A 14,633-nucleotide genomic window follows, 5' to 3' on the forward strand; every position below is an offset into this window, starting at 1 on the left:
CAGTGGCTCATGCCTATAATCCCAGCACTCTGGGAGGCCAAGGCGGGCAGGACACAAAGTGAGGAGATCGAGACCATCCTGGTTAACACGGTGAAACCCCGTCTCTACTAAAAAAAATTCAAAAAATTAGCCAGGCATGGTGGCGGGCACCTGTAGTCCCAGCTACTCGGAAGGCTGAGGCAGGAGAATGGCGTGAACCCGGGAGGCGGAGCTTGCAGTGAGCCAACATTGTGCTACTGCACTCCAGCCTGGGCGACAGAGCAAGACTCTGTCTCAAAAAAAAAAAAAACCAAAAAACATGAAGGCCGCGACAGCTGGTACTCAAAACAGCTGGCAGCTACAGAAGGGTGGGAACCTGTATAGTAGAAGGAGACTCTGGTATCATAGTCTGGTTGGGTTCAAATTTCAGTTCTGCCTCTTAGTAGCCCTGTGAGCCTGGGTAAGTTACCCTCTTTGAGTCACAGTTTGTTTATTCGTAAATAAAGGAAAATAAACTCAACTGACAAGGTTATTGGGAAGAAAAGAAGAGATATACAAAGCATTTAGTCAGTGCCCGGCATACAGCATGTACTCAACAAATGCTATCTCTTCTGCCAAGAGCTCCGGCCACTTGCAAGTAGCACTTCCAGGCTACTAGCCTTATTAGAAATAAGGCTATAGGAATGTTGCAAAGGAAAAGAACCATGGGTTAGGCCTTTTTGGGAAGAGACAGTTCAGCTTTTGATGTAAAACAGCTGTACCTTCTGAGAGAGGTAGCCCCATGTCTTCATCACCTGCCTTTTGTGGCTTAAATTTAGGCTGGCTAATGAATTGGTTCCCTTGGCCCGAGTCTGCTTGAGAGAAAGCCTGGCTCAGACGGCTGTCTGAGGTCAAGAATAAGCACCAAGGGAACAGGTCCTTTCTCCTCCCTTGCCTATCTTTTTTTTTTCCTTTCTTTTTTAAGAGATGGAGTCTTGCTCTGCTACCCAGGCTGCAGTGCAGTGGCATGATCATATCTCACTGCAGCCTCCAACTCCTGAGCTCAAGTGATCCTTCTGCCTCAGCTTCCTGAGTAATTGGGACTAGAGGCATGAGTCACCCTATCTTCCTTTGCCCATTCTTGATGTATCATCCCTCCACTTCCTCCTGTGGTCCCATTTCTCCTACTGTCTCCTTTGGGGATGCAGGAAAGACAGAGTGGGGGTTGAAGACAGGTATCTTGCTGAAATGTGCTTTTGAAGGAAGAGGTCTGTGATACAACAGGTGAATTTCCAATGAGAATGGTGAGCCTAAAATTTCAAATCTCTCATAGAAATAAGCCATGGTGGCAAATTTCCTCCAAGAGGCCCAGTAATGCATTTCTTCCAAAACTGTTGCCTGTTCTCTGAACTTTGGGCCCACTATAATGCACAAGGTAGGCTCTTGGCCTCCAGAGTAACTGCGGAGGTCAGAGCACAGCTATATCTATGCATATCCCTCTCCTTTTATGAAGGGGAAAAAAAAACCACCACTACACAAACCATTCACAAACACAGACACAATTTATGAAGAGTTCTGATCCAACCAGAGAGGCATCTGAGTATAGTGATCAAGTACCTGGACTTGAAAGTTAGTTGTCTGGCTCTGAATCCTGACTCTATCTCTTACAGTTATATACTCTTATGTTAATTTCTTAATCTCTTTCTGCCTCAATTCTCCTCATCTGGTCCCTGTAATCCCAGCTACTTGGGAGGCTTAGGTAGAAGAACCACTTGGGCCTAAAAGTTCGAGGCTGCAATGAGTTATGATTGTACCGCTGCACTCTAGCCTGGCCAACAGAGCAAGACCTTGTCTCTAAAGTAAAAAATAAAAATAGAAAAATTTCCAGCTGGCCATAGTGGCTTAAGCCTGTAATCCCAGCACTTAGGGAGGCCAAGGTGACCCTGTCTCTATAAAAAATATTTAAAAATTAGCTGGGCATTATGGCATGTGCCTGTAACCCCAGCTATTCTAGAGGCTGAGGCAGGAGGGTTGCTTCAGCCCAGGAGGTCGAGGCTACAGTGAGCTATGGGGATATCACTGCACTGGGCAACAAAGTGAGACCCTGTCTCTAAATAATTATTTAAAGTTCTTTTCTGTAAAATGGGATAATGGTACCTACCTCACAGATACTCACAAGCACAAAAACACACGAAGGATTTAGAAAGGCCATCTGGAATCTGCCAAAAGGGGTTAGCTATTCTTCTTCTAAAAGTGGCTTTTTTTTTTTTTTTTTTTTTTTGAGACGGAGTTTCGCTCTGTCGCCCAGGCTGGAGTGCAGTGGCGCGATCTCGACTCACTGCAAGCTCCGCCTCCCGGGTTCACGCCATTCTCCTGCCTCAGCCTCCTGTGTAGCTGGGACTACAGGCACGCGTAAAAGTGGCTTTTGTATTTTTTTTTTTTTTTGACACAGAGTCTCGCTCTATCGCCCAGGCTGGAGTGCAGTGGCACAATCTCGGCTCACTGCAACCACTGTCTCCCAGGTTCAAGTGATTCTCATGCCTCAGCCACCCAAGTAACTGGGATCACAGGCATGCACCACCATACCTGGCTAGTTTTTGTATTTTTAGTAGAAATGGGGTTTTGCCATGTTGGCCAGACTGGTCTTGAACTCCTGGCCTCAGGTGATCTGCCCGCCTCGACCTCCCAAAGTATTGGGATTACAGGCATGAGCCACCGTGCCTGGCCTTATTTATTTATTTATTTAAGAGACAGGGTCTCACGGCTGGGTGCGGTGGCTCACCCCTGTAAAAGCACTTTGGGAGGCTGAGGCAGACGGATCACTTGAGGTCAGGAGTTTGAGACCAGCCTTGTCTACAGAGTGAGACTCCATCTCTAAAATAAAAATAAATAAACAAAAATTATTAAAAAAAATTTGGAGGCTGGGCGCGGTGGCTCACGCCTGTAGTCCCAGCACTTTGGGAGGCCGAGGTGGGTGGATCACGAGGTCAGGAGATCGAGACCATCCTGGCTAACACGGTGAAACCCCATCTCTACTAAAAAATACAAAAAATTAGCCAGGCGTGGTGGCCAGCACCAGTAGTCCCAACTACTCGGGAGGCTGAGGCAGGAGAATAGCATGAACCTGGGAGGCAGAGATTGCAGTGAGCCAAGATCAAGCCACTACACTCCAGCCTGGATGACAGGGTGAGACTCCATCTCAAAAAAAAAAAAAAAAAAAAAATTGGAAAATAGAGATAAGCAAAAGGAGCATAAAAATCCATAATCATACTACCCAGAAATAACCAATATTTTAGAGAATATCATAGGTTTTTTCCCCTACATACTTTAAAAACATTGAAAAGTATTATATTTTTGTGTAACTTGCTTTATTCCATTGTATTGATATACCTTTTTTTTAATAAGAGAAAAAAAAAGTTTAAAAATAAGCAAGAAAAAAGCCCAGAGCAGTCAACTGTTTTGCCCACTTCTTACCTTCAAACCTGTTCCAGGAGCCATATGGCTGGAAGGTCAAGCTGCAGTGTCTACTATGGCTCCCTTGATGCTGGCAGGCCCCACACCTGGCTGCTACCTTGCTGATGTCAGGCACTTACCTACCCAAGACTCCACTAGACTCTGAGCTCCTTGAGGGCAAGCACCAACCTCAACATCTGCCTCAGCCCAGTGCCTGGCAACACTTGGTAAAATAAAAAGTCAGCAAATAAGTACTGGCACTCTCTCAGGACCAAGAGTTACACATGAAGGATGATATGGGTATGAGAGAGAGCTCCGCTGTAAAAGGTGATTTGGAATCCTACAGGCCTGGGGCAACAGTAGCCTTTTCAGAGAGGCAGAGACATGGGGATCATGTAACCCATGATCCACTCATTAGAATCCTTCTATATTTCCTCATAGTCTCCTACATTTCTGCACAGGCTGACCTCTTTGCCTGGAGTGCTTATTTTCCTTCTCCAAGTGGCTAATTCTTTCTAGTTCTTTAAGGCTTAGCTTCAAGGAACACATCCTCTTGGAAGCCCCAGGCTTCTACTATGCCTCAACAATTCAGGTGGCAGGGACATCTCTCAGGACTTCCTCTGCAGAATCCCCAAAGTGCCCTAAGGATTCCCTTACCCATCCCACCTTACCTATCCCAAAGAAAGGAGCTAAAAACCACAAGACAGATTCAAATTAGGTATCAGGAAGAGTTTCTTGATGATGAGTAAAAGGCACTGGAGAGACAATTTGAGGAGAGAAAAGAGACCTTTAAGGGGGCTTTCCCTTCCTTCCAGGTTAGGGCTAGCAACAGATGCTGCAGGTGCTTGAGGGCCTGGGTTATCTAAGGTTGAGGTTTTACCTGCTGGAGCATCCTCCTTCAAAGTGGTCAGCCAGGGTTCTGGGTTGCAGGAGGTACAAGGAGTACTATCCACCTAGTCATGGGACCATGGGCTGGGGTATGGTTCCAACAAAGGGCTCAGTTCTGGAGGAATCTCAGACAAGTCACTCCAGCGCCTGTGGCATGAGAGAGAAGACAAGGACCACACACAGGTGAGGGCTTTTCTGGAGTGACTCACTCACTCCTTCCCACCTAGCAGAAGCAACCAAAATGAGATGCAAGGCAGGCCTGGGCGGAGAGTGGGCCTGTCCTTTCCCTTGCCAATTAGGAGACAGGGAAACTTTTATGAGAGCCTCAGAGGCTCCCTGGGCCAGTTTTATTACAGGGTTAGGGTTTGGGTTGGGGTGGGGCTGCAAACCCTCTGGGTCAGTGTGCCATGGAGGAGGAGTAAGACACTGGGGAGACAGAGAAGCCTTGTGCCCTATCCTCTACATTAGACAGAAATATCCTATTTCAGTCGTTGGTGAGGAGGAGAGGCTGGAGTCATCTCTCGCTGCTCCAGGAAAGGTGTGGTGTGGTAGTTTATATCACAGTTCAATCACTCACTGGGTGTGTGATCCTGGGTCAGGCACATCACCTACCTCAATTTCTTACCTTGAAAATGGGGACAGTTAAATCTGCCTCATAAGGAGTGGTTGTGAAGGTCAATGAGGTCATGGTTTGACAGCACCACACAAAGTACGAATCTGAGTATTCACTCAGAGGATAAACACTGTTAGCACTACGACTAAGGGTTGATGATCCATTTGGGAGCGCTAATCAGGTGAACGGTCCAGTGTCAACTTCAAGAAGGTGAGGATTTCAGGGAGATGAATCCATCTGGGAGGTGGGGTGTTGTGAGGCTGGGCCTAAGCCAATCTTTGAAGAATGGTTAAGTGACCCTCAGACTTGGAATTTTCTAGGCCTTGGCACCACCCCTAGCAAGGAGAGATGAGGCTGAGGGTGAAGCGTGCCTGCAATGGATTAACCCTGGTGGAGACTTTCTTGAGGCTCTGAATACATCAAGTCTTTAAAGAACCCAGGGATAGGGACTTCCATAGAAGCTGGAAAAAGGACAATTGAGGCGGAAACAGGTATCAGGACCGTGCTGGACCACTTAAGGTGTGGTGCTACAGCCCTAAAAGATCCTGACCCTGGACACTGACTGTACCCCATCCAAGGGACAGCCATGCAGAGGGCTCCAGAGAACAAAGCTCTTTCAACTGGGAACTCATCTCAAGCAATAGGTCCAGAGGGGCAGCACAACAGGTTTGGGGTTTGAATCCAAAACCCAAGGCCCCTGGCACAGAACCCAAGAACTAAGCCTCACTCTGTTTCCTCGTTTACAAAACGGAGTGATAATATCCAGATCTCACGGGGCTAAATGAAGCGTTAAAGGGGCTAATACCTGTGAAAGCGCTCTGCAAATGTTATTACGATGCAGCATCAGCTCCTAGCTGGAGTCAAGTGAGATTAGAGCAGTTTTCTCCAGTTCTCCCAGCTCCTGCTCCAGTCGGTTTCGCGGTTACCAGCCAAGAATTTCTGGAAAGGGTGTGAACACTGTGGGCAGAAAGGAGACGGTAATGAGTAAATGGAACACCGAATCAAGGCAAGTGGCAACCTGATCACCAGTCCCTCCTTCTCAGACTGTTTCTTTCTAGGCATGGAGGACAGTGGGAGGGCAGACGCTGAGAAGCGCTGGGTAAGGATCTCATCAGTCCAGCTGGCTCCGCCCCCAGGTTCCCGGCGGGAACCGGGGACTCAAGGTCCGGGCGTCGTGCCGCAAACCCAGGGCTGGGATGCCGTTCCGGAAGCACCTGGCACGGGGAGAGTATGTCCTTCCCAGGAAGGTGGACGTGACCCCAGCCAAGGGCGCAGCTGCCCTGACACCTCCCGGGACCAGCCGCCCCCTCCCGGGGTCCTCAGCTGGGCGAAGAGTGGAGCAAGGACCCTCTCCCCCCAGGCCGCCCCCTGCCGGCCAGGTGGAAAGGTGGAGGGTGATCAAGAAAGACTTGTTTCAAGCAAGAGCCAAGAGCTGGGCTACCCCCTCGTGAGACACAAGAGGGTCAAAAGGAAAAGGCAAAAAGGAGGGAAACGGCGCTTTGGAAGGGGAGGTGGAGACGCCTACTTCTTCCTCACCGCTGCGGGGCAAACTGGCCTCCCAAGCCCCTTCCGCGTCTGAAGGGCTTCAGATATAGGTTCGGGTTGACACTCACCGGTCCCACGGCCCGAGCCGCCGTGCTTCAGGCCCCCGCCCGGCCAGACTGGAAAGGCGGGCGGGCCAGGTCAGGCGGCGGGAAGAACACGGGCAGGAGAGAAAAGAGGAGGGGCAAGAGCGTGCAGTGAGGAAAGGAACCTGGGAGCGCCGAACCGCACCCCGTCGGCTGCGGCACTGCTAAGTGGCCGGGGGTCGGCCGGCTCCTCCCTAGGGGCGGGGCGAGCACTCGCGGCGCGGGGCGCGCACGTGGCTTGGCCGGGACGCCTGGTCCGGCTTGCTGGCTTCAACTACGGTGAGATGTTTTGCGACCCTGGGGTAAAATGAGGGTAAAGCGGCAGCTTCCCACGTTCTGGGGGAGAAGCGCGGAAGCACGGTTTCCTGGGCCTTCGGGCGACACCAGGACTGGGGGTCTTTCAGTAGAGGTCGCCGCGGCGGAGTCTTGTGCGAGTGCGGCGGAGTGTTGTGCGAGGCCGGCGGACACCATTACCCTGATAGGGCCTCGCCGTGAGGTCTGAGGGGCCGTGTGAGGTGCATGGCGCGCCGTTTCCTCTCCAGGCGCTCCTCTCAGGGCTACGGCCCTAGAAGATCTGGCCTGCACCAGCCCAAAGGACATGACAGGAGTGGGTAGCCCACGGGACACTGGCACGAGCGCCATGATGGGCGGAGACGCGCGGAATCGGCCGGCCCGGAAGTGCCAGCTGCCTGCGTCGGCCGGAAGTGCCGCGCGGGAGGCGGAAGCGGCTGGTTCCCGCGTGGTTTGGCGGGTGCAGCGGCAGTCCGGCTGCCCTTCCCACGTAGACCGTCTGCTGGGGGCGCCGGCACCATTTGGAGTACGTGAGGTATACGGGTAGGGCGCGGCCAGGTCGGGCGTCTGTTAGGAAAAAGACTTTTTATTTTTATGTTTATTTTTTAAGAGACGGAGTCTCGCTCTGTCGCCCAGGTAGGAGTGCAGTGGCGCGATCTCGGCTCACTGCTGCCTTCCACCTCTGGGCTCAAGCGATCCTCCCGCCTCAGCCTGGCATTACAGGCGCGCACCACCACGCTCAGCTAATTTTTAATTTTTCTTTTTTTTTTTTTCACTCCTGGCCTTAAGCGATCCTCTCTCCTCCCAAAGCGCTAGGATTGCAGGCATGAACCACTTCTCTCGGCTAGGACTTTTATTTTTAATGGTCAACTGATTTGAGTTGGTTACTGTGAGATATTGTCACAGGTTCCAGACAGGCCATAATGCACGCATGCATTCACTTACTTATTCAGCTCATGGTACATTTAGAAACTCTAGGTTCATGTTTAACCAACAAATGTGTTCTTCCAGTATGCCGTTTTTCAGACAATGATGTGTGGCATTCAGAGGTGTTTTACAACCCTTAATAAAAGAGCAACTAACACTAGTATGTGCTATACATCCATTCTTAATGCACCCACCGTACCTACTTCCATCCTAACCTGAAAACATAGCTGTCTGTAAATGAGGAAAGGAGCAGCCTGGGGATCCAGAAATCACTGCAGGGGTCACGTTTTGTACCAAGGCAGTAGGTTTGGAGAGGCTCTGAACTGGAACCAAGGCCCCCAACTTCAAAATGTACTTGGCCCCTAGCGTTTGAATTTGCTTTAAGGTCATTAGTAAATCCTATTCAATTTGCATCAAAGAATCTTCATGATACGTACTGTGCTCCATAATAGAAATTCCCATCTGCCTATGATGCCATTCTCAGAGTTTATATCCCAAATTCGCTCTCTTTTCCTTTGCTTTTTCTTTTCCTTTTTTTTTTTTTTTTTTTGAGATGGAGTCTCACTCTGTGGCCCAGGCTGGAGTGCAATGGCTCACTCCAACCTCTGCTTCCCCGGTTCAACCGATTCTCCTGCCTCAGCCTCTAAAGTAGCTGGGATTACAGGCGGGTGCCATCACGCCTGGCTAATTTTTGTATTTTTAGTAGAGACGGGCTTTCACCATGTTGACCAGGCTGGTCTCGAACTCCTGACCTCAGGTGATCCTCCCACCTCGGCCTCCCGAAGTGCTAGGATTACAGGTGTGAGCCACCACGCCTGGCCCCAAATTCACTTTCTTTGTGAGTCTGTCTTGTACAGGGAATAGCTGAAGCTTTGTAACCAATAATTTAATATTATTAGTATGACATTTCTATCTGAACACATTAGTGTTAAGCTTCTTCCCACAATCCTTGGAAGGGGAATCACAAATCCTAGGTGAACTCATTAGGGCCCAAAGTTCTGCTCTGAAATCTAGTAATAAGAGTAAAATTAAGCCAGGTATGCTAATTACACAAGAATGCTGCTTTTCACAAATCCATTCCTTTGCTCTTGTTTTCACAGGAAGAAAAATGTCTGAAAAGCAGATGAAGGAAGCTTTTGTCAGTAACCTCAATGGAACCACCGTGCTGGAAATCACCCAGGGATTGTGCTTTCCTGCATTCTGTATCCTGTGCAGAGGGTTCCTGATCATTTTCTCACAGTACTTGTGTTCTTTTTCACCTACCTGGAAAACTAGATTCCTCACTGACTTTGTTGTCCTAATAGTTCCCATGGTAGCCACTTTGACCATTTGGGCTTCATTTATCCTCCTTGAGCTTCTCGGTGTAATTATCTTTGGGGCAGGGCTGTTGTATCAAATATACCGAAGGAGGACCTGCTATGCCAGACTGCCTTTCCTAAAAATCCTTGAAAAATTCTTGAACATCAGTCTAGAATCAGAATACAATCCAGCCATCTCCTGTTTCCGTGTAATTACCAGTGCGTTTACTGCTATTGCTATTTTGGCTGTGGACTTCCCACTTTTTCCCAGAAGATTTGCCAAAACTGAGCTCTATGGGACAGGAGCAATGGATTTTGGAGTAGGTGGCTTTGTTTTTGGGTCTGCAATGGTTTGTCTAGAGGTCAGGAGGAGAAAATATATGGAAGGGTCCAAATTGCATTACTTTACAAACTCATTGTACTCTGTTTGGCCATTAGTCTTCCTAGGAATCGGACGATTAGCCATTATAAAATCAATAGGCTATCAGGAACATTTAACAGAGTATGGAGTTCACTGGAACTTTTTCTTTACCATAATAGTTGTGAAATTGATAACACCACTGCTGTTGATTATTTTTCCCCTAAATAAGTCCTGGATTATTGCCCTCGGCATTACTGTATTATACCAGCTAGCCCTTGACTTTACCTCACTGAAGAGGTTAATATTATATGGCACTGATGGTAGTGGCACACGGGTTGGTCTATTAAATGCCAACCGCGAAGGAATAATCTCTACCCTGGGGTATGTGGCAATACACATGGCTGGTGTGCAAACAGGGTTATATATGCATAAGAACCGATCACATATCAAAGACTTGATAAAAGTAGCCTGTTTTCTTTTACTGGCAGCTATTAGCCTCTTCATATCTCTTTACGTAGTTCAAGTAAATGTAGAAGCAGTATCTCGAAGAATGGCAAATTTAGCCTTTTGTATTTGGATAGTTGCTTCTAGCCTGATCCTTCTTAGTAGTTTATTACTGGGTGATATAATTTTGAGTTTTGCCAAATTTCTAATTAAAGGAGCTCTAGTACCATGTTCTTGGAAACTTATCCAGTCACCTGTTACAAATAAAAAGCATTCAGAATCTCTAGTCCCTGAAGCCGAAAGAATGGAACCCAGTCTTTGTTTAATCACAGCTCTAAACAGAAAACAGTTAATATTTTTCTTGCTGTCAAATATAACAACTGGCCTGATCAACCTGATGGTAGATACATTACACAGCAGTACCTTGTGGGCCTTATTTGTGGTCAATCTCTATATGTTTTCCAACTGTTTAATTGTATATGTACTATATTTGCAAGATAAGACTGTACAATTTTGGTGATCAGCAGGAGTAGGATATATAAGTATTTGGGCAATATTTAATGAGGAATATTAATTGTAAAGAAATTGTGCTTTTGGCAACAGTGTTAACCATATTTTATTATAAAATAGTTTCAGTCATCTAAACAGCAGTGATGCTTAATTATTTTTTTTTTTGAGACAGAGTCTTGCTCTGTTACCCAGGCTGGAGTGTAGTGGTGCCATCTCAGCTCACTGCAACCTCCACCTCCCGGGTTCAAGCAATTCTCCTGCCTCAGCCTCCTGAGTAGCTGGCACTGTAGGCATGTACCACCATGCCCAGCTAATTTTTATATTTTTAGTAGAGATGGGGTTTTGCCATATTGGCCAGGCTGGTCTCAAACTCCTGAACTCAAGTGATAACACCCACCTTGGCCTCCCAAAGTGCTGGGATTACAGGTGTGAGCCACCACACTGGGCCAATGCTTAATATTTTAATGTATCTCAACAATAAAACCAAGAAGAAACAAAGCCTTTTGACTTGTTAGAATGTATTAAGTAGTATTTTAAAGAAACTTTATAGTTGTGACATTGAAAGACTGTTGGGGTGGGGGGAGGAAAATTTTTACTTTCCATCTTAATGTAACCTTATGCTATTCTGTATTTTTACTGTATATTGCTTTTACAATAAATATAAAATGAAATGTTTATGTTGACATTTCAGTGTGAACTGTGGATTGTCAATACTTGTTTATTGCTCAATTTAAATTTTTGAATAAAACCTAGGACTAAGAAGCAAGTGTTTAAAATCAAACACTCCAATGTGCAGATGGGTGGATATAAAAAGAAAAATTTTAAAAATAAAATACTTATATACTATGAAGTCAGACAGTTAAATGCACCAAAGAATAGATGGAAGGCTGGGCATGGTGACTCACGCCTGTAATCCTAGCACTTTGGGAGGCTGAGGTGGGAGGATTGCTTGGGCCCAGGAGTTCAAGACCATCCTGGGAAACAGTGAGACCCTGTCTACAAAAAAAAAAATAGACTGAATTGGATGTTATATTATAGCTTATACACATAATAATTACGAGACAAAGTTTTGCTTTGGGATTAATTCATCTTTTAGCCTACCCTATGCTAGGGATTTAAGAAGCACAGCACAAATTTCCTGATACCTCAGAGCTTGCAATCTAGTGGAGGAAACAGACATTAAACATCTATTGTGAAATGCTAAGTTATGAAGAAAAAGCATAGGTTGTCAAGAGTGTCAAATCAAGAACTGACCTAGTAAGGAGTCAAGTTTTCCCCACAGATTTTTTTTTTTTTTTGAGCTAGAGCTGATTAGTGGGATGAGGAGTTATAAAGTCTTATGTGTCTGGGGGCTGGGGGGCAAATGGCAGAGAACATTATAGATGGATGACTCCCTCAGCAAAAGTCCTACGTTGGGAGGGCACCAAGCACATAATGGAATTGAAAGAAGGCTGAACACAGAAGAAGGAAGAGCATGGGCAGAGAGCTGGAGAGGCAGGCAGGGGCCACATCAGGCATCCTCACCTACCATGCTAAGGGAAAGGAGAACCAATAAGAAAGATGAGAGTCATCAAGTACCCAGTGTAATTTAATAAAACTATGGCTAAATTAAGGTTTAATTTAAATCTGTAAAAAATAGAGATGGGGTTGCCCAGGCTGGTCTCAAATTCCTGGCTTCACGTGATCCTCCCATCACAGCCTCCCAAAGTGCTGGGATTACAGGCGTCGTGATCCTGGCCTATAATGACGTTTAATATTCTACTGTCTTTTTTTTTTTTTTTTGAGATGGAGTCTTGCTCTGTCTCCCAGGCTGGAGTGCAGTGGCACAGTCTTGGTTCACTACAACCTCCGCCTCCCAGATTCAAGCAATTCTTCTGCCTCAGCCTCCCGAGGAGCTGGGATTACAGGCACACGCCACTTCGCCTGGCTAATTTTTGTATTTTTAGTAGAGATGAGGTTTTACCATGTTGGCCAGGCCAGTCTCGAACTCCTGTCCTCAAGTGATCCGCCCACCTTGGTCTCCCAAAGTGCTGGGATATAGGCATGAGCCACCGCACCCAACCAGGTGTGTTTATTTTTGACAGATAAAACAGAACTTCCCAGTGTCAGCTCATGAAAAAGAAAACCCAATCCACAGATCCTCAGGTTTAGGTCACTATGGTAATTTAAATAACATTCTGTGGCCATAGATTGTCTTACCACATAAAACTGTGGTTATTATAATGAAACAACAAAAAGTCTTCTAATCAACTATCATTTTCCTTGCAACTATCAATTTTTGAGGGCAGAGGAGAGGGAAAGATAACAAAGTGAGGAGTAAGAAGAACATAATCTGTCCAGGACCTCAGCCTATCTATGCCCTTCAGAAAGTGACTCCCATAATTTTAATTTTTTTTTTTTGAGGCGCAGTCTTGCTCTGTTACCCAGGCTAGAGTGCAGTGGCACGATCTCCTGCCTCTGCCTCCCGAGTAGCTGGGACTACAGGTGCCCGCCACCACACCCGGCTGATTTTTTGTATTTTTATTAGAGACGGGGTTTCACCGTTAGCCAAGATGGTCTGGATCTCCTGACCTCGTGATCCGCCTGCCTCGGCCTCCCAAAGTGCTGGGATTACAGGTGCGAGCCACCGCACCCGGCCAATTTTAATTTTACACAATTATAAACTGGGGATGTCTACTACACGTGCCCCAGTAGCTCTTGTGTGCCGAAGATGACAACCAGTTTTATTTTTATTGAGCATAAATGTCCAATGTATTTATATAAATCATACAAGAACCTTATGTTCCTCCCTAGGAGTTTAAATATAGTCTATGAAGCTAAGACATAATAAGGAATACCTTGGTACTTTTCATTTTTTTTAAACCTAGGTAGCCTGGAGAACAGATAGATCTCATTTATGCCTGCATTTTGTGGCTAGCGTCTCACACATTTGGACCTAAGAAAAAGAATGGTAGTTTGCTGATAATTTATTACAGCTCCGTCCCTCCAACTGTTCTTTATTAGGTACCAGCAAAATGTGTTCTGCTGTTGATTGCCTTTACTTTCCTGGCCTTTCAAATCCTTTGAACTTGCATTTCACAATGCCAATATCAAAATGAAATAATAGGCAACAGACAACTGTCTTTTAATGTAGCAATTATATATTTCGTCAATTAGAGGTTTGCTCTCTAAAAGCAGATACTTTTCATTTTAAAGTACATAGGATAATTCTCAAGAAGTATTTGCTGCAGTACTGGTGGTTATGGCTAAAAATAGAGCAATAGTGAAAATAAAAATAAGTGCCTACTCTAAAACCAGGAAGATGCACAGTGAAAACTTTGAAAAATTATTTTGCCATGAAATAATTTTCTAAGCGTTTTCCTTGGGATATTGATTTTATTGTATCGATTGTATTATATTGTATGGTATTAGATTAGATTAGATTGGATTGGATTTATAGCACCCAGGCTACCTCCTTGAGAAACAGCAACTTACCTAGCAAATCCACCTTTTTCGCCTTTAAGAATACGTTTTCATTGAATTCCTATTTGTCCAAAGATACTAAGTATGCCCGGTGGACCTAAGAGACAAACCCAAATTAGGGAAAGTAAGCTCAGATGGAAAGAGACCTTTGGGATTTCATTTTATTATGTTTTATATATGTTTTAATACCTTTTCACAGATTTAAATCCCCAGGGTGAATACTCCCTTCTTTGTTAGTACCTGGCGTGTGTTCAGTAGTCAAAGTAATTAAAATTAGCACCTATATAATGAGCTTGTCATTTTTAATGTTCTTTACCAACCAGAATCCTAATGAAGTCTAAAAGGTTTAGGCTGGGCACGTTGGCTCACGCCTGTAATCCCAGCACTTTGGGAGGCCGAGGCGGGCGGATCAAGAGGTCAGGAGATCAAGACCATCCTGGCTGACACGATGAAACCCCGTCTCTAATAAAAACACAAAAAATTAGCTGGGCGTGGTGGCAGGCGCCTGTAGTCCCAGCTACTCGGGAGGCTGAGGCAGGAGAATGGCATGAACCCGGGAGGCGGAGCTTGCAGTGAGCCGAGATAGCGCCACTGCACTCCAGCCTGGGCGACAGAGTGAGACTCCGTCTCAAAAAAAAAAAAAAGGTTTAAAGTGGGTACATTAATTGATGTACCACTGTAGGAGCACCTCTAGATACTGAAGGCCACAGTATCTTGGCTCACTGCAACTTCCGCCTTCCCGGTTCAAGCGATTCTTCTGCCTCAGCCTCCGGAGTAGCTGGAATTAAAAGTGCTCGCCA

At 46.2% G+C, this 14,633-nt stretch overlaps 2 protein-coding genes across 38 annotated transcripts in view, besides 1 other annotated feature; one reads left to right on the plus strand and one right to left on the minus strand.

The window, feature by feature from the left end:
• MYO19 (myosin XIX) overlaps positions 1–14,633 on the minus strand; it is a 49,180-nt gene that overhangs the window by 32,600 nt on the left and 1,947 nt on the right. For 16 of the 35 annotated variants that reach the window (NM_025109.6, XM_047436840.1, NM_001163735.2 and 13 more), the window contains exons 1-3: positions 6,526–6,633; positions 5,718–5,869; positions 4,292–4,446 (exon numbers count right to left, since the gene is read on the minus strand). In NM_025109.6, the coding sequence (NP_079385.2) occupies positions 4,292–4,303 (12 nt within the window). In that variant the 5' untranslated portion in view covers positions 4,304–4,446; positions 5,718–5,869; positions 6,526–6,633. Of the gene's footprint in view, positions 1–2,740; positions 2,833–3,432; positions 3,635–4,291; positions 4,447–5,717; positions 5,870–6,437; positions 6,634–7,014; positions 7,221–13,845; positions 13,931–14,633 lie in introns of those variants that run through there. The other 19 variants (XM_047436841.1, XM_047436833.1, XM_047436831.1 and 16 more) reach the window with 5 other exon arrangements.
• Positions 5,324–5,999: an enhancer, noted in NCBI's record as "NANOG-H3K27ac-H3K4me1 hESC enhancer chr17:34889386-34890061 (GRCh37/hg19 assembly coordinates)". NCBI's record gives its function as "activates a minimal SCP1, AML or CMV promoter by ChIP-STARR-seq in naive H9 embryonic stem cells {active_cell/tissue: H9 hESC(naive)}" and the evidence as "EXISTENCE:reporter gene assay evidence [ECO:0000049][PMID:30033119]".
• PIGW (phosphatidylinositol glycan anchor biosynthesis class W) lies at positions 6,752–11,068 on the plus strand. Of its 3 annotated transcripts, none has more exons than NM_178517.5 (2): positions 6,752–7,366; positions 8,859–11,068. In NM_178517.5, the coding sequence occupies exon 2, from the start codon at positions 8,867–8,869 to the stop codon at positions 10,379–10,381; it is 1,515 nt and encodes a 504-aa protein (NP_848612.2). In that variant the 5' UTR covers positions 6,752–7,366; positions 8,859–8,866; the 3' UTR covers positions 10,382–11,068. The 3 variants fall into 3 exon arrangements, with proteins under 3 accessions (NP_848612.2, NP_001333683.1, NP_001333684.1); NM_001346754.2 differs by having other exon boundaries at positions 6,752–7,357; NM_001346755.2 differs by having other exon boundaries at positions 6,752–6,819.

This window comes from Homo sapiens, chromosome 17 (assembly GCF_000001405.40).
Source record: "Homo sapiens chromosome 17, GRCh38.p14 Primary Assembly".
Classification (NCBI taxonomy): Eukaryota; Metazoa; Chordata; class Mammalia; order Primates; family Hominidae; genus Homo; species Homo sapiens.